This window comes from Homo sapiens, chromosome 3, assembly GCF_000001405.40.
Source record: "Homo sapiens chromosome 3, GRCh38.p14 Primary Assembly".
Lineage (NCBI taxonomy): Eukaryota > Metazoa > Chordata > Mammalia > Primates > Hominidae > Homo > Homo sapiens.
The window spans coordinates 33,415,461-33,431,609 of record NC_000003.12 but is presented as its reverse complement, the minus strand read 5'-3'; the positions used below and the strand labels follow the sequence as shown (position 1 = coordinate 33,431,609).

At 39.7% G+C, this 16,149-nt stretch overlaps 2 protein-coding genes across 10 annotated transcripts in view, besides 1 other annotated feature; one reads left to right on the top strand and one right to left on the bottom strand.

Moving 5' to 3' along the window:
* UBP1 (upstream binding protein 1) overlaps window positions 1-16,149 on the top strand; it is a 53,064-nt gene that overhangs the window by 9,790 nt on the left and 27,125 nt on the right. For 7 of the 8 annotated variants that reach the window (XR_007095724.1, XM_047448847.1, XM_047448846.1 and 4 more), the window contains 2 exons: window positions 5,869-6,020; window positions 14,776-14,852. Coding sequence is in view for 6 of the 8 variants with exons in the window: in XM_047448847.1 (XP_047304803.1) it covers window positions 5,869-6,020; window positions 14,776-14,852 (229 nt within the window). In the remaining 2 variants the exon portion in view is untranslated. Of the gene's footprint in view, window positions 1-5,868; window positions 6,021-14,775; window positions 14,853-15,246; window positions 15,605-16,149 lie in introns of those variants that run through there. The other variant, XM_047448849.1, reaches the window with a different exon arrangement.
* Window positions 4,958-5,515: an enhancer, noted in NCBI's record as "OCT4-NANOG hESC enhancer chr3:33467587-33468144 (GRCh37/hg19 assembly coordinates)". NCBI's record gives its function as "activates a minimal SCP1, AML or CMV promoter by ChIP-STARR-seq in naive H9 embryonic stem cells {active_cell/tissue: H9 hESC(naive)}" and the evidence as "EXISTENCE:reporter gene assay evidence [ECO:0000049][PMID:30033119]".
* FBXL2 (F-box and leucine rich repeat protein 2) overlaps window positions 8,912-16,149 on the bottom strand; it is a 145,674-nt gene continuing 138,436 nt past the window's right edge. For both annotated transcript variants that reach the window (NR_146123.2, NR_146132.2), the window contains one exon: window positions 8,912-9,886. The gene's annotated coding sequence lies outside the window, so the exon portion shown is untranslated. The remainder of the gene's footprint in view (window positions 9,887-16,149) is intronic.

Below are 16,149 nucleotides of genomic sequence, written 5' to 3'. Positions count from 1 at the left end.
TGCCACCATGCCCAGATAATTTTTTTGTAGTTTTTTAGTAGAGACAGGGTTTCACCATATTGGATAGGCTGGTCTTGAACTCCTGATGTAATGATCCGCCCGCCTCAGTCTCCCAAAGTGCTGGGATTACAGGTGTGAGCCACTGCACCCGGCGGAACTTTCATATGCTGTACTGGCTTGTGAGTTTTTCTATGGTGTATTTAGGTGTGTATTTCTTATTTATTCTGGTTTGGTCATTTGGGCTTCTTGAATCCATGAATTGGTATATTTCACCAGTTCTAGAATTTGCTCAGCCTTCCTGTCTTCAGTTTTTGCCCCTATTCCGTTCTTTGCTGAGACTTGAATTTAATGCAAAATCTTCTCACTTGGTCCCTTCTTAACTTCTTCATTTTCCTCTCTGTGCTGCTTTCTGAATAACTTCTTTTTACCTATATTCCAGCATTCCAGTCTCCTAATTCAGTCTTCACTTCTGTCTGAGCTGCTATTAAACCTGAGTTCTTAATTTGGACAGTTTTATTTTCCAGTTCTAGAAGTTCTTTTTGCTCTTTTTCAGTTTTGCTGTCCTTTAAAGTTTCCTGTTCCTTCCAGATACTTTCAGGCTTTTCTTTTATTTCTTTAAATAGAGTAAGTACGATTTTATAATTTGGATCTGATAATTCCAGCATCTGAAATCTCTGGTGGTCTGTGTCCAGTCAGGAAAATAGAAATCAGTGAGATGTCTCAAGCAGAGAGGGATTTAGTGAAGTATTTGATTGCAAAGGAGCTGGAAGGGTTGGAGGAGGAGGCCATGTTACCTGGTTGTTCTTGGGCTTGTTGCTGGAGGCATGGCTGCTGATCCCCTGAAATTTTCCGCAGCTGCATTCCGTGTGGTTGCCTGTTTTTGCATCTGGCTTTTCCCTTTCCCGCTCTTTCAATTTTCCGCCAGTGTTTGCCTTTGGAGAGCCTGACAAGACTGTCTAGCAAGAATTCTTCTATATGTAGTTTTCAGGCTTCTAACCTTCTGCAGTAGAGGCAGAAAAGATCTGAATACCAGCAGACAAAATCTGGAACTGGATATATGTCATCTGTTGTTTTTGCTGTTGGTTTTTGCTTCTAGAGTCTTGTTTGTCCTTTTATGCCTGGTTATTTTGGTGTACTGGCATTTCAGAATTACTTGGAATAATTTGATGCCTAAGTCTTTTCACTTGCTTGTCAGACCCCTGGGAGCCCTACCTGTCAGTGGTTCCCCGGACCAGGCTGGAGAAGCTAACCAGTACTTTCCCTTCACCCTTACCCTGAGCATCTAGTTGTTCTCATTCCAGTTTAATGTGGATGGCTGTATCCTACACCCACAAGGCCACTAAAACTACAGTACAGCTTTGCAGTTCTTTCCTCAGTTTGGGTAGGTAAAAGCCACTTTCAGTTCTAGGCTTGCTTGGACTTACTGCACTTTTTCAGATTTCAGCCTGTTTCTTTATCTTGTTAGTTCTTTAATACTTTCAAGAATATATGTGTTCTCTGACAACTTTTTTCCCCCCTATCCTCAGTGAGGGTGGATGGGGTATAGGTTCATTTAAATTACTTAGCCTGCCATTACTAAACAGTTCTCTATGTTGTTTTTTCTATTTTGTTTCTTTCATGTCTCTTTAGAATTCTCATTTAGCTTCCATATATGTTTTATCTATCTTGTCCTTAAGAAAAATTCAAATTTTCACTGTTTTTGAAAATCAGTACATTCACATAATTATTTTCAAAGGCTATGAGAGGGTGTACAGTGCAGTCTCTGCCTCACACTAGGGTCTTGCAGTCATTCATTTGTCCTCCCTGAAGGCAGCTTACATTGCTGGATTTTTAGATGTCCTAGTAGATTTTTATACTTCATTTGATCAAGCTTGTTGTGATTTCCAAGTCTTTTTTAGCATCCTGATTTTTGGTGCTAAGCTACATTAAAATTTACCAACATGTAGATCTTTCAGTTTTGCCTTCTAAAATGCATCATTTGGGCCTGGTGCAGTGGCTCATGCCTGTAATCCCAGCACTTTAGGAGGCCGAGGTGGGTGGATCACTTGAGGCCAGGAGTTCAAAATCAGCCTGGCCAACATGGGGAAACCCCACTCTACTAAAAATACAAACATTAGCCAGGCATGGTGGTACAAGCCTGTAATACTAGCTACTTGGGAGGTTGAGGTGGGAGGTTGAGGCTGTAGTGAGCCATGATCATGCCACTGCACTCCAGCCTGGGAGACAGAGCCAGACCCTGTCTTAAAAAAAAAAAAATAAAGAAACACCCTACTTTTAGTTCCGTTTAACATTCTGTCTTTAGTACTCAAAAGTCTGTTTCCATTTATGGGATTACAAAAACCATCAAGGTTTTAGGACTTTCAACATAGTAGAAATTATAATCTTGTCTGGAGACCTAGTTTTCAATCTTAATACTAATTGGTTGATTATTAATGCAGCAATCAGTTCATTGATTTAGCAAGTATTTGAGCTCCTTTGTGCTAGATGCTGGCATCAGTCATTGAAGAAACACGTATTTGGAGTTACGTGCTTATAGCAGATACAAAGTTAGTAAGTCATGTATATTTTTGGAAAGTGGTAAGAGCTGTGTATAGAGCTAGGGTAGGGAAATTGGGAGTGTGGGTGGGAGGACTCCAGTGTCATGTTGTCACTGAAAAGATGACATTTGAATGAAATGAGCCATTAGGATATCCAGTAGAAGAGTAGAATCAGGAGGCCGGGGTAGTTGGAGCAGGGGGAATGAGGGTGACGAGAAGAGGGGTTGAAGAGCAGGTTGCGTAGGGCTTTTTTTTTTTTTTTTTTGAGACGTAGGATTTCGTAAGGACTTTGGTTGAAAGTGAGCTGATGTAAGGATTCAGAGAATTGAAATGGTTTAACTTCTGTTTGAAAAGGATCACTGGTTGCTGTGTTGACTGGAAGGCATTTTCTTTCTAATTAAGTAAAAAATTAATTGGAAATTCAATAGCAAATAATCTTTACATGTTTATATGTTTGTTCAGGAGTCGTTTAGCACTTACCATGAGCATAGTATTTTCTGTGTGGATCATGGAGACTATAACCAAGTGAATAAAAAAGTGGTTGTCTTCTAGGATCTGAAGCATATAAAATTGTCTTCCATATGTGACAATTTATTAAAAAAAGCCATTCTCATGCAGTTATACATCTTATTTTGATGATCTGTATCTAATGATCAACCCAAGCAGTTAGCATTGAAATGTTAAAATTATTCCCTGTGTTATTTTTCGGTATAATTAATGGTTCTGAGTCACAACTCTCATTCTTGTTTTCTTTCTCTCTGAGAGGGTTTTAAATGCTTACATATACACAAAATGCAGTATATATTTTTATCTTCCCTGGAGCCAATTTGACTGTTATGACTGATTTTTATAAAGAGGTGATCTGATTCTTTTTTTTTTTTTTTTTTTTTTGAGATGGAATCTCGCTCTGTCACTGAGGCTGGAGTGCAGTGTCACGATCTCAGCTCACTGCAACCTCCGACTCCCAGGTTCAGGCAATTCTCTTGCCTCAGCCTTCCAAGTAGCTGGGACTACAGGCGTGCCCCACTACGCCCAGCTAATTTTTGTATTTTTAGTAGAGACGGGGTTTCCCCCGCCATGTCTCGAACTCCTGACCTCAGGTGATCACCCACCTCAGCCTTCCAAAGTGCTGGAATTATAGGTGTGAGTCACTGCTCCTGGCCTGAAGTCTTCTGAAAAGTTTTTATATCTGCCCCCAAGGCAGGAGCTTAGGTGGGGCAAAATCCCTAGGTCAAGGTGTTGAGAGAACTCTGTGGGAGTGTTGGGACCATTGCTAACCGTGTGATCCTTGGTTATTACTTGTGTACGTAGGAGTGTTTTGACAATTCCTGGGTATAAATAAGAGAGGGAGAATTAGTGGATAGTTAGTATCTTTGAAAATCAGCACAGTGCTTTAATAGAAATGCATGGGGGGAGTAGGGACTACTGGTGGGATAACGTTCTCTCCCAGGGTTTCCGTCCCATTTCACTTGTTTTCACATTCTGTTTTTGAATTGAATTGAATTGACCTGGCTACCCAAGTATCTTAGTGAACAGCTTGTAGGAAAAAAAGAGAAAATAAGCAGTTCAGACAAGTCCCTATTATTGGTGTTGATACAGTAGTTATTCATTTGATGTTTTGTTGTTGCTGTTATTATCATTTTACTTTTTATTGAAGAATGAGTATAGAAAAGTTAAGATACAAACGTACAGCTCAGATAATTATCTCAAAAACAAATAATCACCTTCCATACATTAATAGGGGAAATGTAAAATTATTGCAACCACTTTGAAAAACAGCTTGGCAGTTGCTCAGAAAGTTAAACAGAGGCGGGGCGTGATGGCTCACGCCTATAATCCCAGCACTTTGGGAGGCTGAGGCGGGCGGATCACTTGAGGCCAGGAGTTTGAGACTAGTCTGGCCTACATGGCGAAACCCTGTCTCTACTAAAAATACAATTACCTGGGTGTGGTGGCACATGCCTCTAATCCCAGCTACTTGGGAGGCGGAAGCATGAGAATGACTTGAGCCCAGGAGTCAGAGGTTGTGGTGAGCCAAGATACCACCACTGCACTCCAGCCTGGGTGACAAAGTGAGACTTTGTCTCCAATAAAATAAGTAAAATAAAGTTAAACAGAGTTACCATGTGATCCAGTAATTCCAGTTCCAGGTGTATACTTAGCAGAATTTATCTACACAAAAACATAGAAAAGTGTTCATAGCAGCATGATTCATAATTGCTAAAAAATGGAAACCACCCAGATGGCCATCATCTGAATGGATACAGAATACGGTATGCCTATACAATGGAATGGAGCCATTAAAAAGAATGAAGCATTGGTACATGTTAGAACACGGATGGTCCATGAAACATGCTAAGTGAAAGAAGCCAGTCACAAAAGACCACATAGTCATATGATTCCATTTAAATGTCCCAAATAGCAAATCCGTAGAGATAGAAAACAAATCAGTGGGTGCCAGGGGCTGAGTGGGTCTGGGATAGTATGGTGAGTGACTACTAATGGGTATGGGATTTCTTTTTGAGGGGAGAAAATATTTTGGAATTCAAGAATTAGATACTGATGATGTGAATATACTTAAAACCACTGAATTTCAGACTTTAAAAGGGTGACTTTATGATATGTAAATTATATTTCAATAAAGCTGTTAAAACCAAACAACATCCAATAAAAACAGTGTCCCAGAAGACCCCTCATCATTCTCCCAATCAGTGCCCCAGGTTATTCTTAGGGGGAGAATAGCAGCTGCTGCGACTGCTGCTGCTCCTGTTTACCTCTCAGTAGGAGCCATTGTTTTAGATTAGGCATGAAGCTTCATGTTCTTAACACTTGCCAAGGCACAGCAGGGAACTTTTTGTAAAACCCCATTTTAATCAGATGCTTCTTTGTAATTCTATGGTGTCAAGTGTGACCTACCTTTGGCAGCAGTATTATTTCTTGCCTTTCAAATCAAGTAGCTAGGTACTCTTGACTTGCTTTTTTTTTATAGAAAGAATCTGGACCTTAAAGTTTTAAAAGAAGTTTTTAAAGTGCTATATATATATATATATATATATATATATATATATATATATATTCAGAGCTGCCCTGCCGCCCTCCCCCACTTCCCACCCCGAGATAGGGGTTGTTAATGCCATCCTTTAGATGAACCACATAGCATTCATAGTTCTTTTATTCTACATATAATTTCTGATCTTAAAAAAAAAACTATCCCTAAATGTTTATATGCTTTTAAATATTTCAGACAAGATTGGGTGCATTCAGGATGATATGGCTGTAGACAAATATTTCAAACCCAAAGTAAGGTCAGTGTTGATTTTTTGCTTTTCAGTGATGTCTTGGCATTGCCCATTTTCAAGCAGGAAGATTCCAGCCTTCCATTGGATGGTGAAACAGAGCACCCACCCTTTCAGTATGTGATGTGTGCTGCAACGTCACCAGCAGTAAAACTGCATGATGAAACGCTTACTTATTTGAACCAAGGTTAGTGTGGTTATGTCACATTTGACATGTAAGAATTTACAGAAATACAAAATAATATTTTGGCATTGTAGCCTAGATTATTGGTAATAATTAAAAATTAGGTTCTTTTTCTTAAATTTTACAACTTAATGAAAATTGTAGGAATTTTACTGTGAGCAGCTGAAGTACAGTTTGTGTAAACTGATTTGCATTAAAGAGGGTCTGAGGAGGAAGATTTATTACAGGATTTTTAAGACATAATCCAAAGGACTAGCAAGTAGGAAAGGAAGTCAGTTATTTTTAGGGACAGTGATTTCAATATGGAACTTGAGAATGAATCAGAAGTCCAGCTAGCAAGGAACCTGGATTTTGAACATGAAGCAGTTCTGTGCTGAAAATAGACTTAAGCTGCACCAGGATGGAGTCTGTGGCTAAATAAACATCAAATTTTATCCCCTATATCTTGTTTGTAGTTTATGTCAGAGTGTTACATTTCAGTGATATGAAAGGGTTGGTGGGGAAGGAGGGAAAATAGAGATGTGGGGGTAGTTTACCTTTTTTTTTTTGAGACTGAGTTTTGCTCTATCGCCCAGGCTGGAGTGCAGTGGCGCAATCTCGGCACACTGCAACCTCCGCCCCCCAGGTTAAAGCAATTCTCGTGCCTCAGCCTCCCAAGTAGCTGGGATTACAGGCACACACCATCACACCCAGCTAATTTTGTGTAATTTTAGTAGACAGGGTTTCACCATGTTGGCCAGGCTAGTCTCAGACTCCTGACCTTAAGTGATCCGCCTGCCTCGGCATCCCAAAGTGCTGGGATTACAGGCGTGAGCCATTGCACCCGGCCGAGTTTATCTTTGGAAAGAGGAGAGTTTGCCCTTTGCAGTTTGGGCACAGGCTGATGTGACTTACCCCTGTAAACAAAAGTATTTTGAATGCAGGAATTAATTTGTTGGATACATATACTGAAAGCAGGTTGAATTCTGATTTTAAACAATTTTTTGAACATTTTTACTGTTATATGCTCATTGTAGAAAAACTGGGAAATATGTGAAGGGATAATGCCAAAAATTGACTAATATTTTTGGTCTGTTTCTTGAATGTATATACATTTTCTTTCAAAAAATTAGAATTATACATCTGTTCACTTGAGTATATAGTGTTTATTTTTCTGTCATTAAATAGAATTTTTACTCGAAGTTTTGGAAAGAGCAATAGATTTTAGACTTTTACATGTGATTAATCTGAAATGTGGAAGAATAACTTATTTCTACCTTTTCATTTGATATATAAGTTTAGAATCTATAAGGTTTTACCTTCAGGTAGTCCTGTCTCTGGCACTTGTGACAATTCCCTGTTTGTTTTTATATTTAGTGTTTGGATAGGCAATCACTTATTTGAGAGTTAAGTTTTATATTTGAAAGAACCTTAATAACTTATTTGGTAATCTGTTGTAGACATAAAAATAACAGAAGAAACAATGTAGGGGCAAGGATATTCACTGTAACTTTATTTCTAAAGATAAAAAAGGAAATAACCTGAATTTTCCTTACTTGTGGAATAGTCGATTAAGTTCTGTTACATACATACCATGGAATGAATTAGTACACATATACACCCTGTTTAAAGCAACATGTAGGATGTGCATTTATTGGCCTGGGGGAATGCCCATAATTTATCATGGTTGTTCTTAAACCAGATAAAGATATTTCATATCGATAAAAGTCATAATCCACCATCTGTAGTAGTGATATAGTAGACTGACATTAATTGATACTGTGCATCTAGCATTGTACTAAATACATGTGTTAACCTTATTCAGTTCTCACAGTAACTCTAGGAGAGATTTATTCATTTATAGATTAAACTTAGAGCAGTTAATTACCTTGCTCAGTGTCCATTTGGAAAGCTTAGGTTTTAACAAAATTTTTTTGAAGTATTACAGTAATGTGCACAAATCTTAATGAATTTTTACATATATATTCCCTTGAAACTACTACCTATTTCCATCTTTTCCAGTACTCCAGCAGGCTCCCTTGTGCCTCTTTCTCAGGTGATACCTCACTTGAATATAATCAATGTAAGGGCAGGTGATTTTCTTGTCCTTTATTCTGCTTACTGCAGTATTAATGTTGAGTATTTTCTTGGTTCTGGAATTGTGTTCATTTATTTCTTGATTTTTTCTAGTCTTTTCAGAAAAAAGGTAGAAAGCTGAACTGTATATGTAGACATGTTTAAAACAACATACATTTTAGTAATTTTAAAAAATATGGGCCGGGCACGATGGCTCACGCCTGTAATCCTAGCACTTTGGGAGGCCAAGGTGGGCGGATCCATGAGGTCAGGAGATCAAGAGCATCCTGGCCAACATGGTGAAACCCCGTCTCTACTAGAAATACAAAAATTAGCCAGGCATGGTGGCACACACCTGTAGTCCCAGCTACTCAGGAGGCCAAGGCAGGAGAATCACTTGAACCCGAGGCAGAGGTTGCAGTGAGCCAAGATCACACCACTGCACTCCAGCCTGGGTGACAGAGCGAGACTCTGTCTCAAAAAAAAAAAAAACAAACTTTTTTTTGAGTAATTTTAAAGGAACTGTACTTTTATGTACCCTTTTAAAAGAAATTATAACTTTCAAAATAATACCTATATGAGTATCATATATAATATAGTGTGTTGTGCTTTGCACAGACTGTATCTTAGCATTTATCATCTTGACAAAAAGTTTTAAACCCAAAATTTTCCATGAATCCTTAAACAAGTTTTTAATTTTCTATAAATGTATATTTTCTTCCTTCCCTTCCTTTTCTTTTTCTGCTCCCTTTCTCTTCTCCCCCTTTCTCCCCCCCTCCTCCTCTCCCTCCCCCTCTCCCTTCTTTCTCCCTCTCTTTTTGGTCTTGCTCTGTCACCCAGACTGGAGTGTAGTGGTACAATCATGACTTATTGCAGCCTTGACCTCCCAGGCTAAAGTGATCCACCCACCCTAGCCTCCTGAGTAGCTGGGACTACAGGCACAGGACACCATGCCTGGCAAATTTTTAAAAAAAATTTTCGTAGAGATGGCGGATCTCACTATTCATTGCCCACGCTAATCTCCGACTCCTGGGCTCAAACGATCTTCCTGCCTTGGCCTCCCAAAGTGCTGGGATTATAGGCGTGAACCACTGAACCTGGCCTTTTTTTCTTCTTTCCTCCCTCCTCCCTTCTTTTCTTTTCCTTTTATTTGTTTGTTTTTAGAGACAGGATCTTGCTATGTTGCCCAGGCTGTTTTTGTACTCCTGGGCTCAAGCAGTCCTCCTGCCTCAGGCCTTCTGAGTAGCTGGGATGTAGTCCTTAAAGGTATATTTTTCTAATGAGAGGATTCATAGCTTTTTCTAGATTTGGACAAGGATTGGACCAGACTGAGACATTTCTGAGTATCTTTCACCCTACCTCTTTGTCTACTGAATAATAGAAGCTTGCTAATTTAAAGTAATAAGACAAACAAAGATCCAGACTAGCAAAGTATCTTCAGCTCACTAGACTTGCTTTTCTTTTTCTTTTTAATTTTATTATTTATTTATTTTTTGAGACAGGGTCTCACTCTGTCTCTTAGGCTGGAGTGCAACGATGCAGTCTTGCTCACTGCAACCTCTGCCACCCAGGCTCAAGGGATTCTCCTGCCTCAGCCTCTGGAGTACCTAGGACTATGGGCACATGCCACCATGTGTGGCTAATTTTTGTATTCTTAGTAGGGATGGGGTTTTACCATGTTGGTCAGGCTCGAACTCCTGGCTTCAAGTGATCCACCCACCTTGGCCTCTCAAAGTGCTGGGATTACAGGTGTGAACCACCACTCCCAGCCGAAATGGTCATTCTTGATGAAGAATATTTGCCACTATGTAATGCTGTAAAGAAAATAAAAATCAAATTTGGTATAGTCTTCACTTTGTCAGTAGAAATTGGAGCAAGTTTTCCTAGTTGTATTGATGTCTTAGTGTCATTTTTTGAGTTCTTTTTGAACCTCAGAGGGACTGAGTTTAAAAACTTATTTGTGTTTAAGGCTGGGTGCGGTGGCGCATGCCTGTAATCCCAGCACTTTGGGAGGCTGAGGTGGGCAGATCACGTGAGGTTAAGAGTTCGAGACCAGCCTGGCCAATGTGGTGAAACCATCTCTACTGAAAATACAAAAGTAGCTGAGCATGGTGGCGCACGCCTGTAGTCCCAGCTACTCGGGAGGCTGAGGCAGGAGAATCACTTGAACCTGGGAGGTGGAGGTTGCAGTGAGCCAAGATTGCACCACTGCACTCCAGTCCCCCGCCCCCGCCCCCTGCAAGAAAAAAAGCAACCTGTGTTTGTGTTTCCCTGGTTATGCCTGAATAAGAAGAGGAGTTAAGTCCCTGACTTTAACTCTGGAGTAAAAACTGTAGTCCCAAAATGGAGCCACCAGAGGGTGGAGTACACATAGCTGGCTTTCCCTTTGGGCAGAGATCTGGCTGGAATAGGCTGCCTTTTGTCTTAACAGCTGGGGGCTGAGCCTGTGATGCTTCCACACCTGATAAATATGAGTGAGACTTCTGATCTTACCCCCTTGCTGACTTGCTACTGCTGGATCAGCCCCTAACTCTTCAAATGAAAAGAATTTCTCCTTGTTAGTCCCCAAATACATTTTCATTTGGAGACCAAATTCTACTTGGAGAATACGCTGCTAAGAATGTTAATTAACCCACCTGTAATCCCAGCATTTTTGGGAGGCCGAAGAGGGTGGATCATCTGAGGTTGGGAGTTCGATAACAGCCTGGCCAACATGGTGAAACCCCATCTCTACTAAAAATAGAAAAATTAGGCTGGGCATGGTGGCTCACGCCTGTAAACCCAGCACTTTGGGAGGCAGAGGCGGGTGGATCACGAGGTCGAGAGATCGAGATCATCCTAGCCAACATGGTGAAACCCTGTCTCCACTAAAAATACAAAAATTAGCTGGGCGTACTGGCATGTGCCTGTAGTCCCAGCTACTCAGGAGGCTGAGGCAGGAGAACCGTTTGAACCCAGGAGGCGGAGGTTGCAGTGAGCCAAGATTGTGCCACTGCACTCCAGCCTGATGGCAGTGTGAGACTCTGTCTCCAAAAAAAAAAAAAAAAAAGCCAGTATGGTGGCACACACCTGTCATTCCAGCTACTTGGGAGGCTGAGGCATGAGAATTGCTTGAATTTGGGAGAGGGAGGTTGCAGTGAGCCCAGATTGCACCACTGTACTCCAGCCTGGGCAATAGAGTGAGACTCTGTCTCAAAAAAGAAAAAAGAATGTTAATAAAGTACAGCTATAAGTCCCTAGAAACAGCATGTTTATTGGATTAAGAATTCCGTTAAATATTTCAGAAAGTTCTTTTTGCTTAGTTTCATTTTTCACAACAGTAGATTTCCTCCTGGTTAGTTTCAGTTCATGTTACTAAAGTTTCATGATAGGAATAGGACTTTAGAAATAAGGTTTCTAAAGCATTGAATTTAGCAAAGTGGGGGCTGTCACATCTTGGGCTCCATGTTGCCCTGGAGTCCCATTTGATGAAGCTAGACTAGAGTATGTGTCTTCAAAGGTGGGTGGGGACATGAATCACAACAGTTATATTTTTCAACTCTGGCAGAATTTTTGCATTTCTGAGCCAAAAATGGAACAAAAAATAAAACATGAAAAGTAAATTGAGAAAATAAAGCTAAAAATAGGACTAGCATCTCACAGAATATTACTGTTGGACTATATTAACTTTATATTTCATTAATACTGGATCCTTCTTTATATTTCAGTTACAACCTAGACTGTTGTTTCAGGAAGCCGTGGTATTAAAAATTATGGATTGGGGACAAATTAGGAAATTTCTAAAAGTCTGGTTGTTCTCTCAATGGATATTACCATTGAAGAATATAATAGTTTCCAATAGGGAAACCACTTTAAGCGTAGCAAGTGTTATAGAGTCTTTTCTTTTCTTCTGGTTTTTTTTTTTTTTTTGAGATGGAGTCTCCCTCTTGTTGCCCAGGCTGGAGTGCAATGGCGCGATCTCGGCTCACCGCAACCTCCGCCTCACAGGTTCAAGTGATTCTCCTGCCTCAGCCTCTGGAGTAGCTGGCATTACAGGTGCCTGCCACCACGCCCAGCTAGTTTTTGCATTTTTAGTAGAGACGGGGTTTCACTGTGTTGGCCAGGCTGGTCTCAAACTCCTGACCTCGTGATCCGCCCACCTCAGCCTCCCAAAGTGCTAGGATTACAATTGTGAGCCACTGCGCCCAGCCTAATTTTGTATTTTTAGTAGAGACGGGGTTTCACCATGTTGGTCAGGCTGGTCTTGAACTCCTGACCTCAAGTAATCTGCCTGCCCTGACCTCCCAAAGTGCTAGGATTACAGGTGTGAGCCACTCCACTTGGCCAACTCTTGATTTTTCTGCCTCAAGTCAGCTCCTGGCTGTCTTTGAGGTCAGGAAATGGTGACTCTTCTTCAATTCCTTGATCAAAAATCAGGAGTAATCCTCAACTCTTCTTTCTGTTACACTTTACATCTAATACAGCAGAAAACTGAGGGATTTATACTGTTCTGATAGGTGAAAAATGATTTCAGTGTGGTTTTAATTTGCATTTCTCTAATGGAAGTTGTCTTTCAATATGTTTAAGAACTGTTGGCATTTCCTTTTGTGAACCCACATGTCCATTTCATTTGCTCATTTTTTTCTTCTAGGGATACTGGACATTTGTTAGCAATTTTTTTTTTTTTTTTTTTTTTTTGGAGACAGAGTTTCGTTCTTGTTGCCTGGGCTGTAGTGCAGCGGTGCAATCTCAGCTTACTGCAACCTCCGCCTCCCAGGTTCAAGCGATTCTTCTGCCTCAGCTTCCCAAGTAGCTGGGATTACAGGCATGCACCACCACGCCCAGCTAATTTTTGTATTTTTAGTAGAGATGAGGTTTCTCCATGTTGGTCAGGCTGGTCTCGAACTCCCAACCTCAGGTGATCTGCCCGCCTCGGGCTCCCAAAGTGCTGGGATTACAAGCGTGAGCCACTGCGCGCAGCCTAATTAAATACTTCTTATGGCCGGGTGCGGTGGCTCACGCCTGTAATCCCAGCATTTTGGGAGGCTGAGGCGGGTGAATCACCCGAGGTCAGGAGTTCAAGACTTGCCTGGCCAACATGGCGAAACCCTGTCTCTACTAAAAAATAATACAAAAATTAGCTGGGCGTGGTGGCGGGCACCTGTAATCCCAGGTACTCAGGAGTCCAAGGCAGGGAGAATTGCTTGAACCTGGGAGGTGGAGGTTGCAGTGAGCCGAGATTGCGCCACTGCATTCCAGCCTGGGCGACAGAACGAAGCTCCCTGTCAAAATAAATAAATAAATAAAAATTAATGTTTCTTATTGATCTGATAATCAGCATAAACCTTTTGTTGATTTTTATTTCCTAAATTCTTGTGAGGTTGAGTGTAATTTTAAACATAAATGGTGTATTTTTCAAAACTTTATATTCTTCATTTTGAAAATTATTTCTGTTTTCAGAATATAGATCCATTGTTAAATATAGTGCATATATCTTCTTCCAATCTGTGTCTTAGTTTAACTTTTTAAAAATGTCTCTTCCCATACAGGTGTTTTTTAGTGTTTCTCTGTCTGTTGAATGAATGTAAGCAACTTTTCTTTGTAACAGACTATATATATGCTGTTTTCCTTCACCAGCCTTGGAGTGATGTAGTTGTATTTTGATAACCCCTTGTTGAATTTTGACCCTATAATCTAGAATCCTTTGTATATTTTTCTGTAAGCCCCCTGGGAGTATGGACAAGGTGTTGGTAGTTATAAAGATTCTCAACTTCATGTGATATTATAAGCATTCTTTAATTTTTACTGATTTTCTGCATGCCAAATTATACTGTCATTTTTATTATTTAATAACAGATAATCCAGAAATCATTTTTTGTGGATTTGGAGTACATTATTAATTTTTTTACAGCAGCATTTTCCTAATTATCTAGATTGATGTGTGAATATCTGTGTTTTCTAATAAACACTAAAAGTGGAAACAACCCAAATATCCATCAGCTGATGAATGGATAAACAAAATTTGGTTTAGTCTTTACACAGTGGAATAGTATTAGGCAATAAAAAGGAATGAATATTATTTGGCAATAAAAAGGACTGATATATACTACATATGGGTGAACCTTGAAAACATTATGCTAAGTTTAAAAAGCAAGGCACAAATACCCACATATTGTATGATTCTGTTTATGAAAGTATCCAGAGTGGGCAAATCGTAGAGGCAGAAAGTGGATTGGTGATCGCTAGCAGTTGGCCAGGTGGGGGGTGGGGGAGGGATGGGAAGTGACTAATAGAGGTTTCTTCTTAGGATGATGCGAGTGTTCTAAAACTGGTAGTGGTGATGGTTGCACAACTCTGACTATACTGAAAACCAATGATTTACACACTTTTTAAAAATGTGAATTTTATGGTATGTAAACTATATCTCAGAAAAGCTGTTACAAAAATTAGTCTTAGGTAATGCAAGCATAATAAAAGTTTAGTGTAAGAGAGTGGCAGATGAAGATAAATTGACAGAGAAACTCTTGTCTCCTGTAATAATGTTAGAACAGAAGGTTGGTGTGATTTTCAGGGAAGAGAAGGATCAACCTGAATTTGCTTCCGTAGCAAATTAACAAACTATCATTGTGTAATGTATGTTCTGAGAAACATGCATTTTGAATTATGTTAAGCAAAGTGATGTTCTTTATAAGGATTGTTTTTTATACACAATTTCTTTAAATAGGTCAGTCATATGAAATTCGGATGCTGGATAATCGGAAAATGGGTGATATGCCTGAGATCAATGGAAAATTAGTAAAGGTAAGGACAGTCCATTTTAATTCCCAATGGATATTGCTGTGATTGAATGAGTTTTTGTTTAAAAAAAAATTAATTTCACTTCAATAATTGTTGTATTACAACTTTTTAACTTTATGAGCTATATTTTGTTTATTCACCTGTAAAATGGGAATTATAGCAGTTATTGGGTAGAGTAATTTTGAAAGACCCTTGGAAATCAAGGAGCAATAGAAAAGTTAGTTGTAGTTATGGGGTAAAAAACTCATCACCACAACAAAAACCTATAAGCCTCTCTAAAAGTAAAAGATAATATGGGGAAGAATGTCAATGTTGGCATAAAACTTTAAAAAATCCTTTACCTTGTAAAGTTTCATTTAAAAAATAGAAATCTCTGTTCACCCTACTCATGTATCTGAATGAAGAAGTCAGTCATCCTAGGTATAGGAGGCATAGCTGTTTTCCAGCTAACCTGTTCTTTTAGGATGTATCCTCAGAACCATCCCTGCCCCCTGGCCCCTCCTAGCCTGTATCCATCATACATCATGGCTAGTTATAAATTCCATAGCATTACAGGGCAGGGTTAATGAAAGAATCTTAATTGGGGAAAGGTAAAACCTCATGTGGCTAACTAAGTGTTAGCAAGAGACAAGTTCTCTTGATCCTTCCATCTTCCCACAGAGTGGCATGTCAGGGCCCAGGTGCTGCTGGGCCCTCAGTGTGGAGGGGCATTCTATTGGAAAGACCTGCCCTCTGTGGATCTGCCTTTTTAGTGGGTAAGCATGGGAAGGGCAGCCTTGTGGTGGGAATTGGATTCAGGCAATCTAAATTTGGTGTGTTAACTAATTTGGCATGTATGGGAAAGCCAGCTGCCCAGTACCTGGAGGGCACCTGGAAGGTTACTTAGGGATCAAATGATGGGTTACCAAAGGTGCTTTGGAACTTCTTGAATGTGCAGAACATATTCAGCAATGTGCTTTCTCTGATTGTTCTGTTTTTGTCTTTCTTTGTTCTGTGTTTTTTTTTTTGTTAATGTATCAGTGTAAAAGGGTTGGAAAGTTGTTTTAATTGTGAACTCCATAATAAAATTTAGTAGGATTTGATGGGCCCTATACTGAGGTCTTTAAAACTGGATCCAAAAATGTTAGAACAATTTTTTTAACTTTTTATTATGGTAAAATTTGAACATACCCAGAAGTAAAGAGAATGGTACAATGAATCCACATATATCCATCATATGGTGGTATATAATAAATATATCTGGTATATATCATGAGTTCTCATAAGTTCTCATGCCAACTTCAACATTCTCCACAATTTG